Source organism: Homo sapiens, chromosome 7 (genome assembly GCF_000001405.40).
Source record: "Homo sapiens chromosome 7, GRCh38.p14 Primary Assembly".
NCBI lineage: Eukaryota > Metazoa > Chordata > Mammalia > Primates > Hominidae > Homo > Homo sapiens.
In genome coordinates this window covers 50,134,669-50,160,748 of record NC_000007.14, presented here as the reverse complement: position 1 = coordinate 50,160,748, position 26,080 = coordinate 50,134,669, and the positions used below count along the sequence as shown (strand labels likewise).

Below are 26,080 nucleotides of genomic sequence, written 5' to 3'. Positions count from 1 at the left end.
AGCCCTATCCAGGCCCAGAATGATGAAGAGGTGCCTCAGATTTTGAGCACCACCACCCCCTGGCAAAGTGGCCTGCCAGGGATGTTTACTGCAAAATGTAATCTCAGGTACCTACGTTAACCTGCTTCCTGAAGGAGGCTAATACTGCCCCATTTGTGTTTTGCTGAGAACATTCCAGAGTTGAAGATTTTTATTTGGGTCTATTTTTTTTCCAATTTACTCTTTCTAAAAATAATGAAACTACAAGATTGGGTTCAGGGGGAACCATTCCTTTTGCACGCAGGCACGTCCGCCCTCAGGATGGATGGCTGTTGCCCTTCCTCTTTCATCCTGGTAAAACACTCACCATCGAAGCATGTGTTGTTGTCCATTGAGGCAATACATGATTCCATCACAAAGATAGCTGACTTCCCCCTTTCTGTGGGAAAATCAAGAACAAACTACCCCCAAAAGAATTTACACATTTACTTGGAGTTCTGAGGTATAACTATCTTGATCTTAATTTCTTAGAAGTCAGATAAAAACCCTGAGACACTTCAGAAAAGTCTAGAAACACAGGGAGGGTTTTTTTTTTCAGTTTCTATTTGTTTTGTTTTTATAATTCATTGAAGGTTATCCAATTTGCTGAAAAAATGGAAGGGTAGGAGAGGTATAATATCTAAATTTAGAAAACCTGGATTCTAGTTATAACTCTACTAATTATTAGTTGCGTGACCTTAAATACTTCACTTCTCCTGGCCTTAGTCTATTTAATTCATAAATTGCAAGATATTTGTAAAATGCCTGCTATAAGAATTTATTACAAGGTTGCAGGATCAAATGAGCTAAGGTTTACAAAAGCACTTTGTAAACTCCAATAGGCTCTGTGTATGTGTATATGTGCATGCAAATACTATATAAATGTACTTTATGTGTATATTCCGAAGGCCAGAGGGCTCCCCCTCAGCCCACATGCACCCCTGAGAGATTCTGCGAGCTGGTGCTCTCTTTGGTCAAGGCCGGGTCAGGCCACACTCTAACCCAAAGTGGTCCTGACTTAGACTTCAGGACCCTCATGGGGACTGGGGAACACTTCTCTCTGAAGGAAACACTGGAGCAGGCCAAGAGAGGGTAGATGTTGTCCCCTTGTGTGATGTCCCCTGCTAGAAAAGAAGAACGCACTTTCTCAGTAGCTCAGGGTTCCCACTGACAGCATACGGATTTTTGACTAGACTGCCTTTGAGATTCTAAAATCTATGGTCTGCTCTCTGCTCTAGAATCCCTGCACTGAAGTGGTGCCATGTGAAACCTCTAGGTAGACCCAATATTCCAACCCTAAAGAGGAATCTTCTGCAACACAGGCCCTGCTACCCTGCTGCCGGCGGCTTGGGAGTCTGCGCCGCGGCTGGCGGGCGCCCAGTGTCCAGCTGAGCGCCGCCTGCCGGGGGAGAGAGGCGGGCTGGGCAGGGACGCGCAGGCCAGCGGAGAACAGCACCGAACCCACCACACTGCGCAGCGCGGAGAAGCAGCCTTTATTTCCCACCGCCGCACAAGCCTTCCCCAGGCGGAGGCCTGGACAGCCCGCGCAGGGCCGCCTCCTCTAGTAGTCTATGGTTTCTTTGTCCTTCTTGTTGAAAGGGTTGTAGGGTCTCACAGTTGTGACCAGTCGAGACAGGGGAGCCTGGTGACGGAAGAGGTCAACTGCCATTTCTTTCTGGAAGACGCTGGGGCAGGATGGGAAAAAAAGGAGGAAAATGAGACATAAAAGACATGTACAAATACACAACCTCATCCAACTAATGATACCCCTGTGCGGGAAGGGGAGGGGAGCGCGCACTGCAGGCAGGGAGCGAGGATGACTCGTGCTGGGGAGCACTCAGCTGCAGGGATTGCACCTCTGTGCTGCGCAGAGAATTATGGTGGGTGCTAGGGATGGGGGTGATCTGCAGAAAGCCGCCCAAGGAACCCCACCGCACCGTGCCTGGGGAGGGCCCAGGGCACGCTGGGGAGAGCTCTCTGGGTGGGGTGGCCGGGGGAATCAAGAGGAGTCTCCTCCAAGGAGGAGTGAGGGGCGGACAGATAAGGCCCAGGGAAGCCAGGACAAGACATGGGACAGGCAGACCTCACCCAGAGGGTAGTAGAAGACATACCTGGGTCACCCAGAGGCCTGGAGAAGACATGGGTGACATGGATAGGGGGAACCCGGGCCTCACCCAGCGGCCAAGAGGAGACATGGGTGGGGTGGGCCTGGGCCTCACCCAGAGGCCAGCAGAAGACATGGCTGGGTCACTCAGAGGCCAGAAGAAGACATCGGTGGGAGGGGCCCGGGCCTCACCCAGAGGCAAAGAGAAGACATGGGTGGGTCACCCAGAGACCTGGAGAAGACATGGGTTGGGGGACCTGGGCCACATCCAGAGGTTGGGAGAAGACATGGGTGGCAGGGACCCAGGCCTCACCCAGAGGCCAGAAGAAGACATGGCTGGGTCACCCAGAGGCTAGGAAAAGACATGGGGGGTGGGAGGGATCCAGGCTTCACCCAGAGGCTAGGAGAAGACATGGGTGGAAGGGTCCTGGGCCTCACCTAGGGGCTGGGAGAAGACATGGGTGGGGGTCCTGGGCCTCACCCATGGGCCATAGGCCAGAGGCCAGGAAAAGACATGGGCGGGAGGGGCCTGGGCCTACCCCAGAGGCTGCTGGGGGAGGGTGAACAAGGCCGGGTGTACAGGGTTTTACTGGCTCTGCCAGTGTATTTAAGTTGACTGTTCCCACAGGAGGCTCATGACTGGGCTTCATTTTACTTTGCTTGTATACCCAGTAGGAATAAATTTGCCCTATCAAGTTTGGTGTGATAATTAAAATAATTTTTTTTAAAAAAGCTTTGAAAATGTGGAATGCTTTGCAAGTGAAGTTTTATCCCCTTGGGTTACTGGCATTCCCAAACTCCCTATTCTGCCTGGAGATGGCTATCCTAGTGTCACAGGAGTTGGGCCAGCTATTATGAGCAACCCCACAAGCCCGTGGCCTGAAATAATTTTGCTGTGAATTTGTTGCTATCTGAATTACACACACAATGCAGTGCTTGTATTAGCAGCGAGTTACAATGCTGGTATGGGAAATTAAAAAATTAAAAATAATTAAAATTAACCCTCTATATAGTGACCACATCTAAAATGGCTTTGTTTTATGCTATGATCACCTTGAACTAATATTTTATTTTGCTTTATATAAATACACACAGATACACATATGTATATTATATGTTGTGAGAAATGGCTGCAGAGGTGGGAAGGCAAGTTTCTGTGAAGGTTACATTCTGGTGGGAGGGTGTGGGCAAGAAACACTGGACTGCGGTGGAAATGGGAGCTAGAAAAACACTTGCGCCTGTATTCCCCTTGCTCACGACTTTGGAGACAGGTCACATCCCTTCTTCTCCACCTCTAACACATCCCATCTACTCACTTCAAATCTCTTTGAACTGTCCCTTCCTCTCAGTTTGCATTCCATCCCAATGTTCATCCTGAGGCACTGTGGGGTCCCTGTGCACTTTGCTCCAAATATGGTGTGGGAGTATATGGCCATGGACCCCTTGGCATCAACATTTGAGGCTCAAACAACTTAAAACCTCCAAACCACCAGTGCAGTTTTCTCGATTACAGAGATCCAGCCAAATGCACTGTTCCTTGCCTCTGCATCAAGCGGATCCAATGGCCTCTCTCTTGTCCCCCTTCCAGTGTACAGCCTGGCAGGCAGGAGCATGTCACTTGACTGCTGGTGTCAGAATCCAGAGCCAGGAGGTTCAGGTTCAGGAGAGAGTGGGCAGGAAGGAAGTGAAGGCAGGAGGCACGGGAGATTAGCTGTTTGCTTTTTCAAGAAGTTTAGAAGTGAAAGGAACGAGAGGGGAGAACAGGGTGGCAGCTCACAGGGAAGCCACAGGGAGACTCCGCTGGGGTTCTTCATAAACAACTGGCCAGCTGGGAGAGGCCAGCACTGCGGGGCAGAAGGGAGGAAGCAGGACTGATGGGACCACAGGACTCAGAGCTCAGAAATAATGATCAATATTTTAGAAAAGTAAGAGTGTGTCTTCCTGGGGGAAAAGGGAGACAGCAGTGATGGAAATAGAGCCTGGGATATGGAGAGGAGGAGGGGACACTAGCAGGGAAAATGAAGGGGTCACCTTGGGTGCCCCAGCAAGCAGGAGGCAAGACCAGCTGAGAGGGGCGTGGGGAAGTGACTGGAAGCTCGTGTGGCACAGGGAGGTTTGAAGACAGCCACCACAGGAATGGCATTAGCTCTTAATAAGTGAGGAACCTATTGCAGAGAAGCAGTGAGAGTACAGTAGCGGCTAATATTCAGGAGTTCCCAGGGGATGCCCGTGTGAAGATGACTTCTTAGAAATAACAGGAAAAAATGCATCAGATCAAGCAGAAACAGTCAGGAGGAAGTTAGCTCACTATGTTCTCATGACACTCATCAGAGAGAGATCAAGGCTCATACTTTCACTGGAAAATTTTAGAAAAATAAATTATAGTGCTAGATACAATCAGAGTGATACTTTTTGATGTGAAGAGCCTGGAAGGCCCAATTTTCTGATCATAAGGGCCAGGCCTTCCTGCTAGAGGGCACAGTCCTTATGAAAGCACAGTGAGTTTTTACACGTTTAAATTCCCTCCTGCCCCTCCGCACCATGCTTTTTCATGCCAGAACACCACCGCTTGCCAGGAGCTGCTGTTAGGGGAGAAGGCAGAGGTGCAGGCCTTGACATCTGGGCCCAGCACGAGCCATCACTTAGTTGTGGGTGACACTTTGGTTAGTGTCACTTTTTCTAGAGAGTTATCTGCACCCTGAGAATAAGAATCCCAGAGAAGCTACCTCAGAGGGCGATGGGTCCCACTCAGGCCATGGATGAGAGCTGTATGTGCAGTATGTGTGTATAGTGAGGGCCATGGATGACAGCCATGTGTGTAGTATGTGTGTATTGAGAGGGATTGCGAGGACCCCCAAGAGTCAGCTATGGGCCTGAATCTGGATGTGAAAGTCTGGCTGAAAGATACAAGTTATATTCTCTGGGAGTAACAGTAGGGGACAGTTTTTCATTTAGAAATAGGATTTATCTGAAAGATAATAGGAACGTTTTATCACACATTGGATGGCTTGATTATGTGTTGTGTAGATATGTTAGAGCAATCAGAAATCAGGGTGGGGTCTGAGATTTGGGGGTGAGAAGATGGATTGTGCACAAAAAAGAAAAGGGATTAGCATTGTTTATAGCTGCACTGACAAAGAATCTCTGCATCGGATCCCTCCTAAATCATGAACCAGCCACAAGGTTTCATCCCACTCTCTTTGGACAGTGAGTCTAAATGATCAGTACAAGGATGTATTTAATTTTGACATTGTTTTATGTCCCTCACATGAAGTAAATATATATTACTTGTCTAAATGTCTACCAGCTTTGCCTTTGGAAATGGATTTATAACATTTCAAAATGTGTCTTGACATTGGCCTTGGCAATGGTTTCTTGTGTATCACACCCAAAACTTAGGTTACAAAAACAAAAATAAGTAAATATGACTATGTCAAACTAAAATACTTCTGTGCAGCGAGGGAAACAATCAGCAAGATGAAAAGGCAGCCTACAGACTGGGGGAAAATATTTGGGAACCATATATTTGATAAGGGGTTAATATCCAAAATTTATAAAGAACTCATACAACTCAATAGCAAGAAAACATATAACCCAATTTAAAAAATGGGCAAAGGACCTGAACAGGCATGTCCCCAAAGACAACAAAAATGGTGATCTGGTGTATGAAAGAATGCTTAACATTGCTCATCGGGGAAATACAAACCACAGTGAGATATCACCTCACACCAATTAGAATGGCTGCCATTAAAAAGACAAGAGATAATAAGTGTTGATGAGCATGTAGAGAAATGATAGACTGTTGATGGGAATGTAGGTTGGTGAAGCCATTATGGAAAACAGTATGGAGTTTCCTAAAGAAATTAAACATAAAAATAACGTATTCCTTCTCTGGAGATACACTCAAAGGAAATGAAATTACCACCTCATAAAGATATCTGCATTCCTGTGTTCATTGCATCATATTCACAATAGCCAAGATATGGACACAACCTCGATGTCTGTTGATAGATGAATGGATAAAGAAAATGGAATATTATTCAGCCTTAAAAAGTAGGAGATCCTGCCATTTGCACAACACAGATGGACCTGGAAGTCATTTTGCTAATAGACACAGAAAGAAACATGTTGCACTATCTCACTTACATGTGGAATCTAACAAAGAAATAAAAGGTGAAATACACAGAGATAGTGAATAGAACAGTGGTTATGAGGGATTCGGTGGGGGGTGAGGCAACGGGAGATGTAGGTCAAAGGATGCTAAGTAGCAGACACGCAGGAGAAACAAGCCTGAGACATAAGATCCATCATGAGGACTACAGGGCGTCATAGTGCATCGTATTCAGGATTTTTGCTAACTGAGTAGATTATAGCTGCTCTGACCACAGGGGGAAGGGGAAAATGGGTAACTATGGCGATGACGGATATTAATGTGTTCACTATAGTAACCATTTTACTATATACCCATATGTCATCATAATATCATGTTGTTAGGATGATATACACAACAGAATTTATTTTTTAAATACATGCAAATATTGAGACTGGGAAAAAAATGTGTCTTGAGAAAAAAACAAATGCAAGTTATCAGCCTAGAAAGCCATTGACCTCCTTTTAAAATGTTTCTCATCAAATGGCCTGGAGAGATGCTAGAAAATTACCAATCCAGAAAGTGAGACGTGTTGATAAAGCCTCCTATTGGCAGGCACCTTAGAAAAGGCCAGGCACACAGGGCTTGTGGGATGCTTAGAATTGTCTGTATGCAGTGGCCTACAACAGGCTAGTCGGGGCCTGAGAGCCACCCCCTAGGGTGCCTTTACTGTGCCATGAGGAATGCTTGCTGCCCTCAATTACGTGGGACCAAGCCCCACTCCTTCAAGTCACTGCCTGAGCCACTCCTCTGTGAAGTCTTCTCTAGTGCCCCCTCCCAGAGCCCCAGGCAGCTTGTGTGTGCCTCAGTTTCCTTATCTGTAAAATGGTGATAGTAACATTCCCTTCCTCACAGGGTTCCTGGGACCGTGACATGAGTTAGTACCCACAAAGCACTCAGCCAACAGAAGTGATTATTAGTGTTAAGACATTTTTTGTCATCCTCTGCTGCAATTGTTTATTTCTCATTGAGAGATGGTGAGCTCCTTGCAAGCAGTTCTTGTGATTTATTGGAGCACAGTAAACATGCATTGACTTAGTAAAAGATCATGTGAATCCACCAGCAAATGGGTGAGTGAATAAAAGGATTAGCAGCTGGGTGGACCAGAAACCACAGCCCAAGAGGCCCATGCATGGCAGCTGTTCCCATTTATAGCCATTGCCTTTCTGAAAGTTTTAAGAAGCTGATCAGAGCAGGAGCTCTGGCTTGGTACCCATGGCCTGACAGTCACCTTTTCAGAAAGCTCTCCCTGACCACAAAGCTCAATAAGCCCCTTCTGAGGAACTCTCTCCTACATCAGTCTTTCTTTTTCATTTCACTAGCTAAGATTATTATTTCATTTCTTCAGTTACTTGTGTGCTTCTTTACTGTCTATCTTTCGTACCAGAAAATAAGCTCCTAAAAGCTGGGACCTTGTCTGTTCATCCCTGTATCTTCAGTGTCTTGAACAGTGCCTGGCCCAGAATTGATGCTCAATAAATGTTTGATAAGGCCAGGCACGGTGGCTCATGCCTGTAATCCCAGCAGTTTGGGAGGCCAAGGCGGGAGCATCACTTGAGGTCAGGAGTTTGAGACCAGCCTGGCCAACATGGGGAAACCCTGTCTCTACCAAAAATACAAAAATTAGCTGGGCGTGATAGTGCACGGCTGTAATTCCAGCTACTCAGGAGGCTGAGACATGAGAATCTCTTGAACCCAGGAGAAAGAGGTTGCAGTGAGCTGAGATCGCACCACTGCACTCCAGCCTGAGTGACAGAGTACTCTGTCTTAAATAAATAAATAAATAAATAAATAAATAAATAAATAAATAAAATGTGTGATAAACGAATGAATCCTCTACCAAAAGAATGTGATCTAGAACAAGCTCTCCTTTTGGGGGCGAACTGCCGTCCCTCTAGTCTGCCTTCCTACTGTGCTAGCATATTCATCTGCACTGGGCCAACAACTAGACATCGTTCAGACTGTGTTTGCATTTTCAAAACCGTTTGCAATGCCAGGAATTCCATCAGGTGCTTTCAAATTTGAGTTATAATAAATGAGTAACCATGTGCTCCTTCTCACTAGTAGCTTCAAATAAAGGAATCTTCAGTAACCTTGCATCTAACATTTCCTGTTTTCTGGGATTTTTTTTTTAGATGGAGTCTCACTCTGTTGCCCAGTCTGAAGTGCAGTGGCACTCTCATTTCACAGCAACCGCCACCTCCCAGGTTCAAGTGATTCTCCTGCCTCAGCCTCCCAAATAGCTGGGATTACAGGTGCCCACCACCACACTGGCTAATTTTTGTATTTTTAGTAGAGACAAGGTTTCACAATGTTAGTCAGGCTAGTCTCGAACTCCTGACCTCAAGTGATCTGCCCACCTCAGCCTCCCAAAGTGCTGGGATTACAGGCATGAGCCACCATGCCTGGCCACATCTCCTGCTTTCAATTTGCAAAATGTGGGTTTAAAAATATATGTGACTTTCAACAGAATTTTTTCTTTTATAAAAGTAAGGTGGCTGTTCACAAGAAGTAACTATGTATCTGATGTATGTTCCATGTGTCTTCTGATGATCATGCAGAAGGGTGATGTGTGTGCACAGCTGTGAGTCTAAGAAGTAAAGATGCCATTCCTCTAATGCGCCTGAAATACCTTCATATGCCCCTTTTGGCCACATTCGTAATAACATTAATCTAAACCTGGTTTTCAGTGTAATTTTGGGTAAGATTCAAAAAGGAAACACATACAAGGCTTAATAAAGTTCCCCTCAGTAGGAAAATGGAAAATTATCTTTTTTTCTGTTTCGGACTTGATGCCACATTTTTAAAAACAATGTAAATTTGCTTTTACTATTTAATTGTTCTTTAATGGAATAACCACAATTAGGATTTCCCCTCCTAATGTATCTGAGCAAATTGAGTAATAGGATTCATACTTACCGGTGCAGTTCTGAATCTGGTGATGGGGTTGTTGATGGAATATTAGAATTTGCTGGGTGGGTGGCTGTGAAATGAACCTTGCCGGTATATCCTGGAATATTTGCAGCACTAAAGTGAAGAGTTAAGAGAGGAGGAAAAGAGGAAATTAAAATGATGATTTGTGAAATTGTCATGGTAACTAGCACCCAAATATGAAAAATATAAAGAAATATGCAGTCTAATTTTTTTTTTCCTGTATGAGGTGTGGAACTTGGGCTGTCCAAAAAGGAAACAGTGCAGGCCTGGGGCGTGCTGATGCACAGGTACTTAGATAACAGCCCTATGCTGGGGTCGATAAAATTTATTTCAAGTTCATGTTTTTCTGCTATTTTAAATTTCCATGTCTTTTACAAACATGACTCACTGCTGAGCTCTGTTTCATAATGAAGGAAGATACCAGGTCTTGACAGAGTGGCAGACCTGTATCCCACACATATTTCTGTAATGCAGACTCTAATATTAATGAATATACACTCTTACATTTATAGCATTGTTACTTTTATCAGATATCTTTCTTATCACCATTAATGTACTGCATTGTAAATTTCAGATGATTTCCTAAAATTGCCCATTGGAAACAAACGTACACCAGCATTAATTCTACAACAGTCTGTTTAGAATTTGAATTTAAACAGTTTAGTTTGAATTCCACTGACTCTTCTGCTTCCCTGTTCTTTTCTCCACCAGGGACAGTGGGAGATAAAAGGAAAACACAAGAGTGAAGAAGCCGTTCTTCAGTGTGTATAAAAGCTCTCTCTCTCCAGAAAAGGCAAACGAGCATTCAAGAGAAAGGCTTAAGTAGGTAGTTCAGAGGAAGGAATGTGAAGAATAATGAATATTCTTGCCATGATAGCACACAAGTTGGTTTACACAGATTATTTCCTAGGAGGTGGGTAAGGCTTATGGGACAGGCCCAGCATGAAGCTCCATCCTGTGTGCTGCAAGGAGTTGAGGAAAATAAGATTTAAATTGTATTTCAAAGTCCAAGAACACAACATTTACAGATCATGAGGCTCTGTGTAATAGCCTACCATCTTTGCAGAGTCGTATCAACGCCATGGCCTCAGCTTACTGTGCTGGCCTCAGGGAGGAATAAGAAAGGCCACCATCATGAACTTGCCCCCAGGGAGGAAAGGGCCAGTGGGCAGATTGCAAATTTCATTCATCTCAGTGGCTTTCACTTGCCATCCTTGGACCTTTCTCTGAGAGCAGGACATCCTTGTGGCATGGTTCCCTATTCAAAATTGGTGCCCAGACAAAATGCAACACAGTAGCAACAAGCAAACCTCTGTGGGTGGTGGAGGAATGGTTCTTCAATGGCTGCCTTGGTTATATCCATGACCTTCCCACACGACCAGTAAGCCACACAAAGCCTTCTCCAGGAACCACTTATCTTAGGAGTAATTTTCAAAATTTGGAGCTTATAGGAGTTGCTCCTGAAAGTATCAGGTGACAAGGCAGGCAGAAGAGAGGTTAGTGAAAGGGGTGTGTGCTTAAGGGTTGGGAGGAAGATTCAGTCCCCGGTTCCCCATGTCATCTCTGGGATCTGGACTGGACATAGTCTTTTGGAGCCTTCTAGCCTCAGCCTGACCCCGGGTAGTGATACCAACCGGAAGGACTTGGGTGAGGGAGAAGTGGAAACGAGAAGGATTCACACTGCAATTTCTTGGTGTCCTTCCCACATTGATTATGTGCAAGTATCAGAATGTTAGGGGGAAAATACATATCAGGCAGGGAATTGCACTAATAAATCTCCTAATTCTCTTCCAGCTGTGTAATTTATGACTCTGTTGGTGATGACTTATTGGCTTGCAGGTGATATAATCAAGGACACCCAGAGACTAACAAAGTGAAGGGAAATTACATCTATGGCAACAGCAGAATAAACAGTACAAAATAACAGATTTTGTGAGACTAGGAAAATAAGGCAGCTAAAGAGTGGGGGCAGCCCACTGCATCGAGAAGCAGGCTTCTGTGGCAAGCCTGACTCTGCCCCTTAACCAACTGTGAGGTTTTACTCCAGTGAAGAAAGCTCTCTGGGCTTCAGCTCGGTCAACTGCAGCATGAAGAGGACAACACTAACCTCTTAGGGGCACTCTGGGGATTAGAGGAGACTTCAATGAATATGAAAACAGCTAGCAAATTGTTAGCACTTAATAGATGCTAAACTAATTTCAGTTGAAATACAGTAATTTAAAGAAATAAAACATTTACAAAATAAGGGCCATGCACATGGGGATTGCAAAGTTTATCCAGTACAGACAGCTGAAAAGATGCTAAGACAGAGGTTCCCAATGGTGCTGCACACTGACATCTCAGAGGCATCTTGAAAGGTACCAATGCCTGGCTCCCACTCCCACATTTTTTTTTTTTTTAGATGGAATCTCGCTGTATTGCCCAGGCTGGAGTACAGTGGCACAATCTCGGCTCACTGCAACTTCCACCTCCTGGGTTCAAGTGGTTCTCCTGCCTCAGCCTCCTGAGTAGCTGCTATTACAGGTGTGCACCACCATGCCCAGCTAACTTTTGTATTTTTAGTAGAGTCGGGGTTTCACCCTGTTGGTCAGGCTGGTCTTGAACTCCTGACCTTGTGATCCACCCGCCTCGGCCTCCCAAAGTGCTGGGATTACAGACGTGAGCCACCGTGCCCGGCCCAGCCCCATATTTTAATGTAACTAGTAAGTGGTGTAGCCTGAGCACTGGGACTTTTGACAGCTCTCCAGATGATTCTCCTGTGCTGCTAAGTTCAGGAGCCTCTGTTTTACAGCCACATTGTCAAGCTTGCTGGAGGGACCTAGGTGAGTGAACTGAAGCTGCTGAATTCTAGGCAGTGCCCTGCAGGATTTTTTGGAATTTTGTTGGAAAAGTGCAGCTGTAAGTTAGAGAGGTAACCCAGAATGAGGCAAAGTTATTCATGCGTGTGTCTCTCCCCCAACCATTCATTAAAGCTTCCATGCATGTTACAAAGGAAATCCCCTCCATCTGTGTGAAAGGTTTTTTCCACTGCCTTTGAAAACACCTGCAGAATTAAAATGCCTCTAAAGTCATATCCTGCCATCAGAGCAGTTAAGAAGTCAGAGGGATGGACGCAGGCCATCTGTCAATCACATGAAAGGCTTGATAAAAAACATTGCACAGCCTCTGTGCCTCTGTGGCATGCATGTTATTGATGCTAAATGGTATCATATGTTACATTGTCTTAATGCTATTAGATTACATCATATTTAATAATAACATTTCATGGAAGATTAGACTGATTAGCTGCTCAGTCTTGGGAATGAATTCAGTTGCATAATAAATTGCCAAATATTTGAAAACGAAAGTCCTCACCCACACTGCTTCTAAATCTACTCCATTTAACCCTGGCACATATGGCCATAACAAGGGGAATTTTGCCATCTTAAGTGCAACACAGCGACCTTATATTAAGAGGAGAATACTCTCTGGGGAACACTTTAGACTGCTGCTGATAGGAGATATTATTTTTCAGCTGGAGGGAACAAAGCTATTAAAGATACTGAAACATACAAGCCGGGAAATGGATTTCCAGGTTAGTCGCATGTTCAAAGAATTCCACTCCCCATTTGAGGAAAGTAGAGAGACGCAGAGACCCACTTAAAAATAAGAAGTCTTCATTTTTGCCTTTGCTCCACAGCTTCTAGTCCTTTAAATACCTTATTTTGTACTCCCTAGTTCCAAATAAGCCAGGATTTTGTTCACTAATTGATAAATTTGAATATATTATTGCCCAAGTCTACAATGAATTGGTTCTCAACCAAACATGATAAAATAGAAATTAAGTAATTTAAGAAAATCAAGAAGTTTAGTAACTCAGAAGAAGGGAGCACAGATGGTATATAAGTTAAATATGAGAGGAAAAATGTGGAGAAAACCATGTTATACGTAGAATATATGTATTGTATATGTGCATAAAATTTAGGCATGCATAGAAATTCTCACTCTACACTGTAAACATGACTAATAGTCATTGAGTATGTTCTATATTCCAGGCACCCTTTTAAATGCTTGATGTAAATTGACTGTTTAATTCTCACAACAATCTTGTGTCATAGGTCCTATGATCATGTCCATTTTATAGATGGAGAAACTGACACAGAGAAAGTCTAAGTATCATGGCCAGCACCAACCAAGCTGGCAAGTGGTAGAACTGGACCTCAGTGCAACTGAACTGAATAGGAAGGACCATTGGCATTACTCCCAGCCCAGCCAGGAGAGCCTCATTAGCTCACAGTGGGCTGCAATTATACAGGGTGGGGTGTAAGTGCAGGTTCAAATCAATGTGATAGTCTTTTATTTAGAGCCATTCTATATCAGCTACAGTTCTAGGCAGACATCAAGCTGACTTAGCTCCCAACAGCTTTCACACTAATACTTTTAATTTAAAAAATGCACATTTAAATGTTTAAAGATCCCAAGTGAACAAAGACCATGGATGCGACATAAGGGAGGGGGGTGTGAGACAGACACATTTAATTCCAGGGCTGCCCTGACCAGCTGTGTGAACTTAGACCTCAACTGAAGTTTTCTCAGGCATCCTCACCTATAATTGGCCATCAGTCAGGGTAGCTGCACTCCCTTGGAGGGTGCTGGGGGCGATGTGATGCAAGTAAAGGCCTGGCACAGTGCCCAGCATGCAGCAGGTGCAGACCCATGTGAGAGGAGCAGCAGGTCATGGATGGAAGTTAGGGTGGGCAAGGGGAGCAGAAAGTGGGAGACGGAGGAAGAGTAGTAAATTCCAGGCTTGGACTTTAAGGAGGGTCAGCCCAGAGGGCTGAGAGAAGGGAAGGACTGCAGAGAACTGTGAGGCAGATGTGGCTGGAGGGGAAAAGACAGGAGTCCATTGTGAGTTGGGGTTTGTCTGATTTTATTGTTCAATGACAAATGCAAATAAAACTGGAATCATTTTGCAATGACTTTGATCACTGGATTGCATTTTTCTGAATATCATAAGATGTCGTGGCCACAAGATATTTTTTAGGAATTGCAGGTTTATTGATTATTCTCTTCATCTGGTGGGTATATTCTTTCCTCCTGTGTTCTTGGGATCTTCAATTCTTCCATTTAGGAGGGAATGTAGAAACAGTATAACTCAAAGCTCCAAGAACCCATTATTTGCCAAAGGCAGAAGCCACGTTTAATGTGAGTTAAGGCAAGAGCTTGCCCTGGGGATTAAGAGGCCAGTTCTCTGGACTTTTTACCACTCATGAAATGAGTGATCTTGGCTCTTTATGCCATTTCCTCTGGCCTCAGCCTCCTCATCTGCAAAATGGGGATAGAACTTGCACCTTCATTTCTGGCCTCATCACACTATTTGAAAAACAAATGAGGGAGTGTGTGAAAGTAGTCTGAAAAGGCAGAAGTATTGGGCTGATCTAAGGAACTACTATTCATAGAGTTATTCTTTAACCTGGGTTGTGGTAAAATTTTGTTAAGCTGCAACACAGTCCAGCGACTGACAGGGAAGCCCCCTTTTCCATGGGAGACATGTGCCAGGGGCTGCCTGGGGGTCCATGTTGGACAATTCCTCTTTATTTGCAAATGCTTCCTCAGAGCAATCATTGAGGTCAAAAAGCACAGTAAATATGAAACCTTGTAACGTCCTTAGATAAAAGATTATAACTTAGTGGAGGATGGTACCTCATAGGCAGCTGCCTAGTTTGGAAAAACAAGCAAATGGTGACTGCAAGTGCTGGGTTTGGGTTCAGAAGGCATGGGCTGTGCTGCTCTGTTAGCTGGGCCTGCACCTCACCTTTGCTGAGCCTGTTTATTCTTTGGAAATACAAGTGTGAGATGCATATATGTTAGATCTCAGGGCTCTCTCCCATATATGTAAGATGTATATATATATATATATATATATATATATATATATATATATACACACACATATACACACACACACACACACACGCACATATATATATATACATATATATATATGTATATATAATCTACAATAGAGTCTGTTACAAAAGAAAAAGTACCCCAACACTCTTTCCATATCCTTGGGAAAGGACAGAGATCTGCCATTACAGATGATTCAATTTTTATGTTCCTTGTACTGATGACTCATGACTGCAAAGCACTGAAATTATATGGGACTGTAAAATGGTTACTAAAAGGGACTGAGCTTATCTTCAAACTTGTTCACCGAGCCCTTGCAAAGAATATGGATCTTATACTGAAGAGGATAAAAACAACAGATTTGAAAAACAGGATTCTTTTTTTTTTTCATTTTTGAGACAGGGCCTCTGTCACCCAGGCTGGAGTGCAGTGGCGCGATCTTGGCTCACTGCAACCTTCACCTCCCAGGCTCAAGCGATTCTCCTGCCTCAGCCTCCCTAGTAGCTGGGATTACAGGCGCTCACCACCAAGCCTGGCAAATTTTTGTGTTTTTTAGTAGAGATGGGGTTTCACCATGTTGGCCAGCCTGATCTCCAACTCCTCACCTCAGGTGATCCACCCGCCTCGGCTTCCCAAAGTGCTAGGACTACAGGTGTGAGCCACCGTGCCAGGCCTGAAAAAGCAGGATTCTCATCTCAGTCTTACCTTAACTTTCTGCTTGACACAGATTATAAGTGCGGATGAATTTGCATCATTTTAAAAAAATTCCTGAACACTACCCAGATCCGGTCAACAGTTCATGTTTGTTGAAGAAACAAAGATAATTGTTTAGCTATACTGAGCTTCAATAATTTTTGTTGAACCCAATGACTATTTTGGATTCTTTCTATTTCCTAAACTAGTCTCAAGTTATAATAAGTTAGGAACTGCAGTAGAAACTGCGTTAACATTTTGAGTTCCTGAACTCTAAATGCCATTTAGTAACTGGGCATGCCTACCAAATTCAAAAATAATTTTAATAAGAAAACTCAGGCAACAATTTCATTTTTAGTGATTTGTTCCAAAAGAATGCATGGATAAGTGTACAAACATATATGTAGAGGCTGTTTTTGCTATATTGTTTACAACAAGAAAAGTATTCAGGGCTTGGGCAATATAAACTTGTTATAGATTTGGTGGGATACATCTAGCCATTAAAAAGATTTTAATATGCAAAAATATCTAGTGCATATTTCAATCTTACATACACACATACACTCCACCTATCCATGCACACACAATACACTTGTACATATATGTTGCACACATTCATAAATGCATGAGGGGAAGAGTCTAAAAAGAAATCAAACTTTTAATATTGGGATTGAAAATGAAAGAGATATTTTACTTTCTACACTTCAAAAATATCTGAATTATTTTCATAATGAACACTTTTGGAAAAAAGTTATTTGTGGAGCTTCAATGTTACTATTAAAGGTGAGCATAAATACTGAGCATAACCATTGGCTCACCAAACCTCTGTAAATTCACATAACACTTCAAGAAAATGATAGCCATAAGTTTAAGAACTTTTTAAGAATGTTTACATATTCTGACCCCAGAATCCTTTTGAAGGAATGTCACTTAAGTAAATAATTTCAAATCAAGAAAGAGTCATATAAAGAATATGGAAACAATTTACATATGTAACCTAAGTGAATGAGGCAGTTACAGTACATCTACACAAATAGAAGCTATGATAAGCTCATAAAAACATGTACCCATAATTATGTGGTAATGTTATAGTGGTAAAAATGTTCTGTGTAGTGTGATCATAGCTATGTAAATATACAAAAGCAAGATTAGAAGTGTGTATGACAGATGGAAATATGCCAAAATGTTAATAATGGTTATGAATAAGAGTTTGGTTATATTGTCATTGTTATTAATATTTCTATACTTTTTCTTTAATGATCAGATTCAGTTCTACAATAAAAATAAAAACTACTATTTTTAAGCTATTAGCACAATCACTACCAATATAAAAAACACAGAGCATGTCAGATGACTTAGTAACCATAAAACAAAATCAACTAATGAAGGAAATTTTTAAAACTTTTGCCCTGTAGAAAAATTGGTGATTCCAATGCTGAAGCCACTTGAACTAGAGAGTAAATGGCCTTGACCCTTGCCTGAAATACGGTTTTTGGGCCGGGTGTGGTGGCTGACACCTTAATCCCAGCACTTTGGGAGGCCGAGGCAGGCGGATCACTTGAGGTCAGGAGTTTCAGACCAGCCTGGCCAACATGGCGAAACCCCCATCTCTACTAAAAATACAAAAAATTAGCCAGGCATGGTGGTGTGCACCTGTAATTCCTGCTACTCAGGAGGCTGATGCAGGAGAATCACTTGAACCCGGGAGGCAGAGGTTGCAGTGAGCCGAGATCACGCCACTGCACTTCAGCCTGGGTGACAGAGTGAGACTCTTGTCTCAAAAAAAAAAAAAAAAAAAAAATGGCTTTCACTGAAAAGGCAGGGGTATAGCAGTGTTTCCCAGCCATGATTAAGTGCCACCAATCATTAAAAAGGACCCTAAAGATACTATCATAAAGCCATTTCTCTTCAAGAAACTTTAAGATGAAAAAAATTCAAGAAGAGACATATTTGCTTTCAATAGGATGGCTCTCTGTACCTTACTTGGCACAAAGTAGGCGCATGTGCTCCTATGCAAATGACATCATATTGTTTATATTCTCCTGTACTTTGCTTTGTAGCTCAAGCAGTATTGTGGAAACTACATAATAATTTGTTTAGAGATTCATATGTATGTATCAAAACTAGAAAGAAAAGTAAGCAAAAGAAAGGCATAAAGTCTAATGAGTATAGCTTCTGAGCTGGGGAAGCAGAAGGCATGGGCAATGAGATTGGGGCCACACACATGGCTGAAAAGATTTGAGTAAGATTCTGTATGTTACTAGGTGGGGGATACACAGGAGTTTACTTACGTTATTTGATATGTTATATGTGACACTATATCTTTCTGTGTCTATAAATATTTTATAAATAAAAATGAAAAACATTTCTTTGTGTTAACAGGTTAAGATTCCGTTAAAAATTGAAAGCGAATCAAAAGAAGAAACTTTGCAACCTTGGAGGCCCTCTAGTGCCCAAATCAGGTAAGTACAGTTAATATCTTCAATTCTTTTATATGATTCGCTCAAAATATCATTTGCTTAAAAACAGAAATTAACAGCAAGATGAGGCAGGAATGCTATATGCCCAAATTTATTGAAGTTAAGTGGTTCATTTTTACACCAAATCTTTAAAATGTTGCCATACTGCTCTTCACTCTCTTTGAAGAAATGACCCCAAATAATATGTTTTGATTCTTTAGAAAGAATATTTCATACAACATTTCAAAATTTAGATATACGTATCAAAGAAGAAACAATCCTAAATTGTTGTGCCTGAATATTTTAAATTAGCTTTCTTCCTATATCCTTCCTTTAGATTTTTAGAATTATTATGTGTAGTAGCAATGATTTCCTTGCAGAATGTATGGAAGAATCCAGCCCACTGACTCCTTCCTCAGGACGAAGCACAGCACGACAGCCTTCAAGTTCCTATGTGTAAAAGTGATTCCTCTCGGCTGGGCGCGGTGGTTCACTCCTGTAATCCCAGCACTTTGGGAAGCCGAGGCGGGCGGATCACAGGGTCAGGAGATCGAGACCATCCTGGCTAACACAGTGAAACCCCCTCTCTACTAAAAATAGAAAAAATTAGCAGGGCGTGATGGCAGGCGCCTGTAGTCCCAGCTACTGGGAGGATGAGGCAGGAGAATGGCGTGAATCCAGGAGGCGGTGTCTGCAGTGAGCCGAGATTGCACCACCGCACTCCAGCCTGGGCGACTGAGCGAGACTCCGTCTCAAAAAAAAAAAAAAAAAAAAGTGATTCCTCTCTGTTAGTGATCTGCCGCGTCTCAGATACTTTACAAACATTATTGATCCCCCCACGATCACCTTGCTTGGTGGCATTTTTTTTCTCACAAGTTTCAGATGAAGAAACTGAAGTCACAGAGATAAAGTGACTTGCTCAAGGGCCCCAAGTGAGTCAATCCCCAAAATCTCCTTTGTGACAAACCACATTTCTTTTAGGAAGCAGGTATCTTTCTTCTTCAGCAATGTTCAATAAAAGCCACGTTTAAATTCCTTCATTTATGGTAAAGTCCATCATCATGTTTCATCCTTAGTAATAAAACAAGTGAAATAATCATGAATGGAACTCACCGACTTGTGTTTGTATAAAGAGGCTTAGAGTACCGCTGCTTGGCTAGCGATGCGATGTCTCCCAAGGGGTTGTCAACATCATCAGCATTTGTAGACTGCACATGACCACTGTTAGAATGGAAAGGAAAGAAGGCATATATTTCTGTATAAGAAACATAGAAGAAACCATTGAACAGTATTCTAACTTCCAAAGGAAATTTATTTGCCAAAGTAGATCAAAGGCTCAAAATGCAAAATGTAAAGCATAATGATAGAACAATTTTCCTTAAAAAATATAAAGATAATTTTCTCTTCTTCAGAATGAGCGGTGGCATGCTCCTTGATCTTAAGTTTGAGCCAGAGTGACAGTAAGGGCTGTTTTGTGTTTCTGAACAAAGAAGCGGGCTGTTCCTGCAGCCCCAGCACAACTCCTTTGGAGACCGGCTGGAGGCTGGGCAAGGAAGAGGCTGGTGTGTGCCAGAGATTATAAGGCTCCTGGTGAATGGAAACCCTCACAGGTGCAGAGGAGCTTGGGCAACAAGCCACGTGCCCCTGGGCCTGAGAGAAAGTTGAGAGGCTGAGTTAATGCCAATCAGAGAGTTTCAAGGACTTCTGGGGCCACTGGTAGAAACACTAGTCAACTGCAGAACTGAAGAGGCCGAGTAATGAGAGGGGTGGGCCAGGACTAAAGGTCCAGATCCCTCCTCCATATTCTTGGATCTACTTTGTTTTGTTTCAAGGTTCTTCTTCCATCTAAAAACCAGGAGAAGACCCCAACTGGCAGATAATGTACTTTTTTTTGCCATCCATGGAAAGCCGGCATTAAATGTAGAAATTAAGAGGTGATATTTCCATGCTGTTAATGAGCATCTCATCCCTTCTGCAATTATAACAGTTTTTGTGATTCATAACACTCAATAGTGGTAGCATCCAAGGTATTTTATTTCAAAAGGTAATGTATTTGGAAAAACAGAAAAATACCACTCTTTCTCTCTTTCTTTCCTTCCTTCCTTCTTTGTTTCTTTCTTTTCTTTCTTTCTTTCATCAAAATCAAACCTTAGATGGGACTTCTGACATTAAACAGGCACTGTGTGCCACACAAACATTAGAAATGTGTTACAATATATAAGTTGTCTTAAAAAGTGAATACAACATGCGTGAGCTGAAAGCAACTACAACCAAAATATAAATCTAAAATTTTTTTACAAGACTGAGAAACATTACTTACGTATAGAGAGGAATATATTTACTTCTAGAACTTGAACTCACACTTCAAAAAAGAGAAGAGAGGCAACTGGGTTATTTATATTAAGTTAATAAACATCAAATTATTACAGTATTTCTCTAATTAAGACAAAAGCCTTCACAGATATCTCATAGGAATTGTCCTTTAAAGGTTTGTGATTTTAAACAGAGACTATTTAAGGATGTAGTTTGCTTTCTCCAGAATGTCAAATAAATGGAATCATATAATAAATTTTTGGGTCTGGCTGCTTTCAAAATGTATTTCAGATTCATTTATATTGTTGTGTGTTGTGTTTGTTCTTTTTCATTGCTGAGTAGTATTCCATTGTATGGGCATACTCTAGTATCTTTATCTATTTACCTGCTGAAGGGCATCTTGGTTGTTTCTGGGTTTTGGAGATCATGAATAAAGCTGTTATAAACGTTCACATATAGGTCTTTGTGTGAGCTCTTGGAAGGAACATTTACGTACAGGAGGCTTCCACTGTGAATAGTATGCTGAAGAATTCTGAGATGTGGCAGTGCTGACTAACCCACATAGCTTTTCATTTGCCAGCTGACTTATAATCAACAAATTAAGTGGATCTATGTAAACTGGAATAAAAAAATTATCATCTCCCTGAGCTATTTGCCATTTTACCACATGATATGTAAATTAAAAATACCAATATACCAATAAAGTTTTAGAACTAACATTCACATGTTAAGAATTAGTAGAAAAAAATTACATTTTAAAAAATGTATTCAAATGGAATTATCATCAACTTCAGCTTGCTATATGAACAAGAATCTTTTTTTTTCTTTTTTTTTTTTTTGAGATGGTGCCTCGCTCTAGTCACCTAGGCTGGAGTACAGTGGTGCAATCTTGGCTCACTGTAACCTCCGTCTCCCGGGTTCAAGTGATTCTCCTGCCTCAGCCTCTCGAGTAGCAGTGATTACAGGCACGTGCCACCACACCCAGCTAATTTTTGCAGTTTTAGTAGAGACGGGGTTTCACCACGTTGGCCAGGATGGTCTCAATCTCCTGACCTCGTGATCTGCCTGCCTCGGCCTCCCAAAATGCTGGGATTACAGGTGTGAGCCCCCACACCTGGTCAATAATGTTAAATTTTTAAATATTTCAATCTTTTATTTAAACGATTACCATTCAATTTACACGTTGGAGTCTATAGTGGGGTATTTTACACATTTGGCAAAACCATACTTTAAATAAATTTTATCAAAAATCTTGCACATCATTTTTAGATATGGTTCAATAAAATGGTAGTTTTCTGACAAGACTCAATATTCTTCTCCGTACTGTCACTATTTGCATTTCTAGATCCAGTAGTCAGACTTGAGTACAGCGTTGTGTATTTCCATTTCATTCCTTTTTCTACCAATTACCAAAAAAAAAAAAATCCCATTTAAAGGTCACTTTATACTGCTTTTATTGAAGTGGTGCAATTGTTAAAGATTTTAAAAATGGTATCCTTGATATTGATTTTCGATCATTAAAATTTAGCAAAAACTCTCATTAATTTTGCTGTGGACTAATATCTCCTACATTTTGCTTTAAATTTAATTTGGATTAGGTAAATATAAAGTTAAATATATAAGGTTAACCATTCCACTGAGGCGATGATCAAATTGATCTTCTAAAAACCAGAAAATCAGATGAAATTCCAGAGAGCAAAAGATGGAATGAATAATTTTTTCTGGAGTGGCATGTGTTTTTCGTATGTGATGTCTGTCTGTCTCATGCTATTCTTCATAATTGCCCATGGTAGTTATTGAAAAATACATAGTTACATTTTAAAATTCCATGTGATTCACTTTTATATTTCCTATTCAACTTCATTTTTGCAAATGCTCATTGTGACTCAGCACTCACAGGCTTTAGCCAACAGGCCTACAAATCACTCATTAAACTATTTAGTAAGATCCTGTCATTAAACTGAGCTAGCATAATTGCCTATTTATGTTGGGAAAATGGATCCCCAGCTCTTATCATAAGTAATAATCAAATGCTTTAAAAATAATAAATGTGAAAAGCAAAATTTTGAAAATTTTAGAAAAAAGTTATAAAAGGAGGATATCTTTATTATTTCAAGGCAGAGAAACACTCATTAAAATCTTCACAAAAACAACAAAACCTGAAGAAAAATATTGATGAATTTAGTTACAGTAAAATTCAAAACTTCAGATAAGCAAAAATAGAAAAGTCTTAAAATAAAAAAGTCACAGACTAGAAGGGGATACTTTGATTCATATTACCAAGAAAGGATTTTTACCCAGAATATTGAACAGAAAAGTTGTGACAATCAGTAAGTAAAAACCCAACAGCAAAAGGGACAAAATATATAAGCAGGCAAGTTACAGATGTGAAAATTCAAACAGGTCATAAACTTGCAAAAACTGATCGTTAGTAATCAGGTAGATGTAAACTAAAATTATAATGGAGCACAATTTGTTATTGATAAGACTGGATTTTTTTTTATCTGAAAATTCTAAACACTGGCTGTGATGTGCAGTAATGGGAGCCCAAGCACTTATAATGGGAGATTCCATTGTTGAAACTCATTTGGAGAAGAACATAGCAATATTTAAAAAGCAGAGAAGTACACATCACATGACCCAACAATTCTAGACATAAATATGAGTATATAAAACTCAGAAATATTTTTACACTTAGGTATGTGAAGGTATGTGGGCACTGTACCAACTGTAATAAAAATCAGAAAATAATTATGAGAATGGATGAATAATTTTTGGCACATCCATTTAAAGGAAGACTCTACAACAGTGAAAACAAACTCCTAGAAACACAGATGTCAACAGGTATGAATCTTACAAACAGAAATATAAATTTTGTGTAAATTAAATAATGTGAAATTAAATAATGTAAATTATTTTCTATCAATTTTTGTATTATATAGTTACTTTGTGTTCTATTAATGTTAGAAACTATGACTTTATTAGTATTACTTCCTCATATGTAATTTTTCATATGAACAAAAATATAAAGTTGCATAAATATATGTATGATACCACTAATACTGGGTTTATAGACAAAGAACACAATTCCATATATAGGTTAACAATAACACATGTGTTTTAAAAAATTATAAGAATGCATGAAAATGTGAAATGTCAAATCCGGAATACTAGTCATGCTCCACGAGGAAGATAGATATGCTTAGAAAAAAAAATACAGAAATTTTCCATTGTGTAAGTAATATTTTATTTCTAAAGTTGGGGAGCATACACACAGACTATGTCATATTCTTATACATTTTTGTGTACATAAAATATTCAAAAATGAATACAAAATAAAAACAAAGATGATAACCTGTGTTGTGGGTTGTGTTACGAGCAAAAATGAACAGACAATATTGTGATGTTTTCAAAGGCAGAAACACCTAGTTTTTTAGACTAAATGTGAAAATTACATGTGAGGAAGTAGTAGTAATGAAACCATAGTTTCTAACATTAATAGAACACAAAGTAACTATATAATACAAAAATTGATTGAAAATAATGTATAATCTATTTTATATAAAGTCCATGGATTTTAGCAATATTGTAATTGTTTATATCAAACTGTTTATAAAGCCCTCCCTATTTTATATTATTGTATTTATTTATTTGTTTATTTGAGATGAGTCTCGCTCATCACCCAGGCTGGAGTGCAGTGGCGTGATCTCAGCTCACTGCATCTCTGCCTCCTGGATCCAAGCGGTTCTCCTGCCTCAGCCTCCCAAGTAGCTGGGATTACAGGCAGGGTTTCACCATGTTAGGGTTAGGGTAAAGAGAAAGTAAAGGAAGCAGGCACACTGAGCAACTGTCCTGGGATTTCCCAGCCCTAAGGATGTGAGTCAGGGAGTCCCTGGGATGCTCTCCATCAGAGAACATATCCCTCACCCACACCTCTAAGCCAAGGGCTACAGCATCAGCTTCTTAATTACAAAACATGATAGTGAGAAACCTAGTGTGAGAACTTTAGGAGATAAAACTTACAAATTAATTGGTTTGACTGGTGCCAAGAAAGATCTTGTTTGAAATCTGTCCCAGAGCTCACCAACCATCTAAAAATAATCGTCAAAATCAATGACAGTTAATGAGCACGTTATAATTTCTGGTGGATAAACTCCTGTCCCCTTGACAGTCCTTTCTACGTCATAGCTATGCCCCAGGCTCCCTAGGAAACGCACTCTCCAAGCTTTGCTAGCACTTCATGGATTCGGTCTGGAGCCACTCATGGTCTTTGATCTGATCTCAGACTTCCAATTTCCATTTGTTTTCTCATAGCTGGAATCTGTCTCATTATCCACCTGTTTCATACCGAAACCCATGTGGAAAGTCTGATTTTAGTTTTCATCCTTAGCTACTGTTCTGACTTGGATCCACTGTAGTCTACCCTCTGCAAACCCAGGCCAGTTTCCCACTTCCAAACGAGCCTAGATCCTAAGCTTTGAATATCATCTGGCCCAAGAAGGACTTTGGATGCTAGTAGAATTTAACGGCAAGGAATGTGTAATGAAAGGACCAACTTTCACAGGTATAAAAATATTTTAAAGTAGTTTAGAGATCCTTTAAAATTAGCTAGATGAAATCATATATATTTTTATTTTAATTCACTTTTTCTATGTGAAAAATCTCAGGTTTGAGTCTTTATATTAAAGACATGTTTTTCCTCTTTTATTATCATTTTTCTCTGTAAAAGCTGAATAAATTTTACAAGAAAATATAGGCATCTTAACCTACCATCAGGGGACCTCTTGGGATCTATATTAAGAGCTGTATTTCAATATAATTGATTTACTTTTTAATCCTATGGATTTTGTGTACTCAAAAACTTCATTATGGGAAAAGCCCAAGGGCTTAACCAGACTCCTACGCGTGAGAAGTGGCACAAAAAGATAAAGGAATCAATGGAAGTAGAAGGTACTTCGCAAGCACAGAGCTGAGACATCTAATCCAGTGTTGGGAGGTCAAAAGTGAGGGTTACAATAAGACCTGAAGAATTCTTGAGATTCACCTAGCATAAATAGGGAGAGTGATGAAGGCAGTGGAAGACTCTTTGCAAAGCACACAACCTGGAAACGAGCATGGGAGACTTGAGGACTTGAGAGAAGCTCAGCAGAGAAAGGACAGAGTACACTGTGGGGTGATGTTTGGGCAATAAAGAGGAACAGTAAGAAGACGAGAACGGGGCAGGGATGAAGCTAAGGAGGGAACCATGGGCAAATAATGGAGAATTGGGTCTGTGTCACGTCAAGGAGTGTGGATTTTATTTTTAAATAAAAAAGGATGGGTTTAATCAGTGGAGTAATACAAACAGATTCACACATTACGAAAAGTTATCTGGCTATGGCATAGATATGATAATTCCTGTGATAAATTCTTCTTGACACTCGGAAATAAAAAGAATGAGTGTCACTACTGAAAAGTTGGTATGCTTTGTTTTATCACATAATAAGTGACAACATCAGATAGCAATCTATGGATCTTCTC

At 41.0% G+C, this 26,080-nt stretch overlaps 1 protein-coding gene across 3 annotated transcripts in view, besides 1 other annotated feature; it reads right to left on the bottom strand.

The window, feature by feature from the left end:
- Positions 1 to 1,492: 1,492 nt before the first annotated feature.
- SPMIP7 (sperm microtubule inner protein 7) overlaps positions 1,493 to 26,080 on the bottom strand; it is a 63,374-nt gene continuing 38,786 nt past the window's right edge. Inside the window, exons 5-9 of one of the 3 annotated variants that reach the window (NM_001161834.3) lie at positions 24,584 to 24,651; positions 20,568 to 20,609; positions 19,361 to 19,468; positions 9,192 to 9,299; positions 1,493 to 1,703 (exon numbers count right to left, since the gene is read on the bottom strand). In NM_001161834.3, the coding sequence (NP_001155306.3) occupies positions 1,580 to 1,703; positions 9,192 to 9,299; positions 19,361 to 19,468; positions 20,568 to 20,609; positions 24,584 to 24,651 (450 nt within the window). In that variant the 3' untranslated portion in view covers positions 1,493 to 1,579. Of the gene's footprint in view, positions 1,704 to 9,191; positions 9,300 to 19,360; positions 19,469 to 20,567; positions 20,610 to 20,887; positions 21,179 to 24,583; positions 24,652 to 26,080 lie in introns of those variants that run through there. The other 2 variants (XM_011515052.2, XM_011515053.3) reach the window with 2 other exon arrangements.
- Positions 14,913 to 14,962: a silencer, noted in NCBI's record as "silent region_18177". NCBI's record gives its function as "represses an Ori minimal core promoter by ATAC-STARR-seq in GM12878 lymphoblastoid cells {active_cell/tissue: GM12878}" and the evidence as "EXISTENCE:reporter gene assay evidence [ECO:0000049][PMID:35858748]".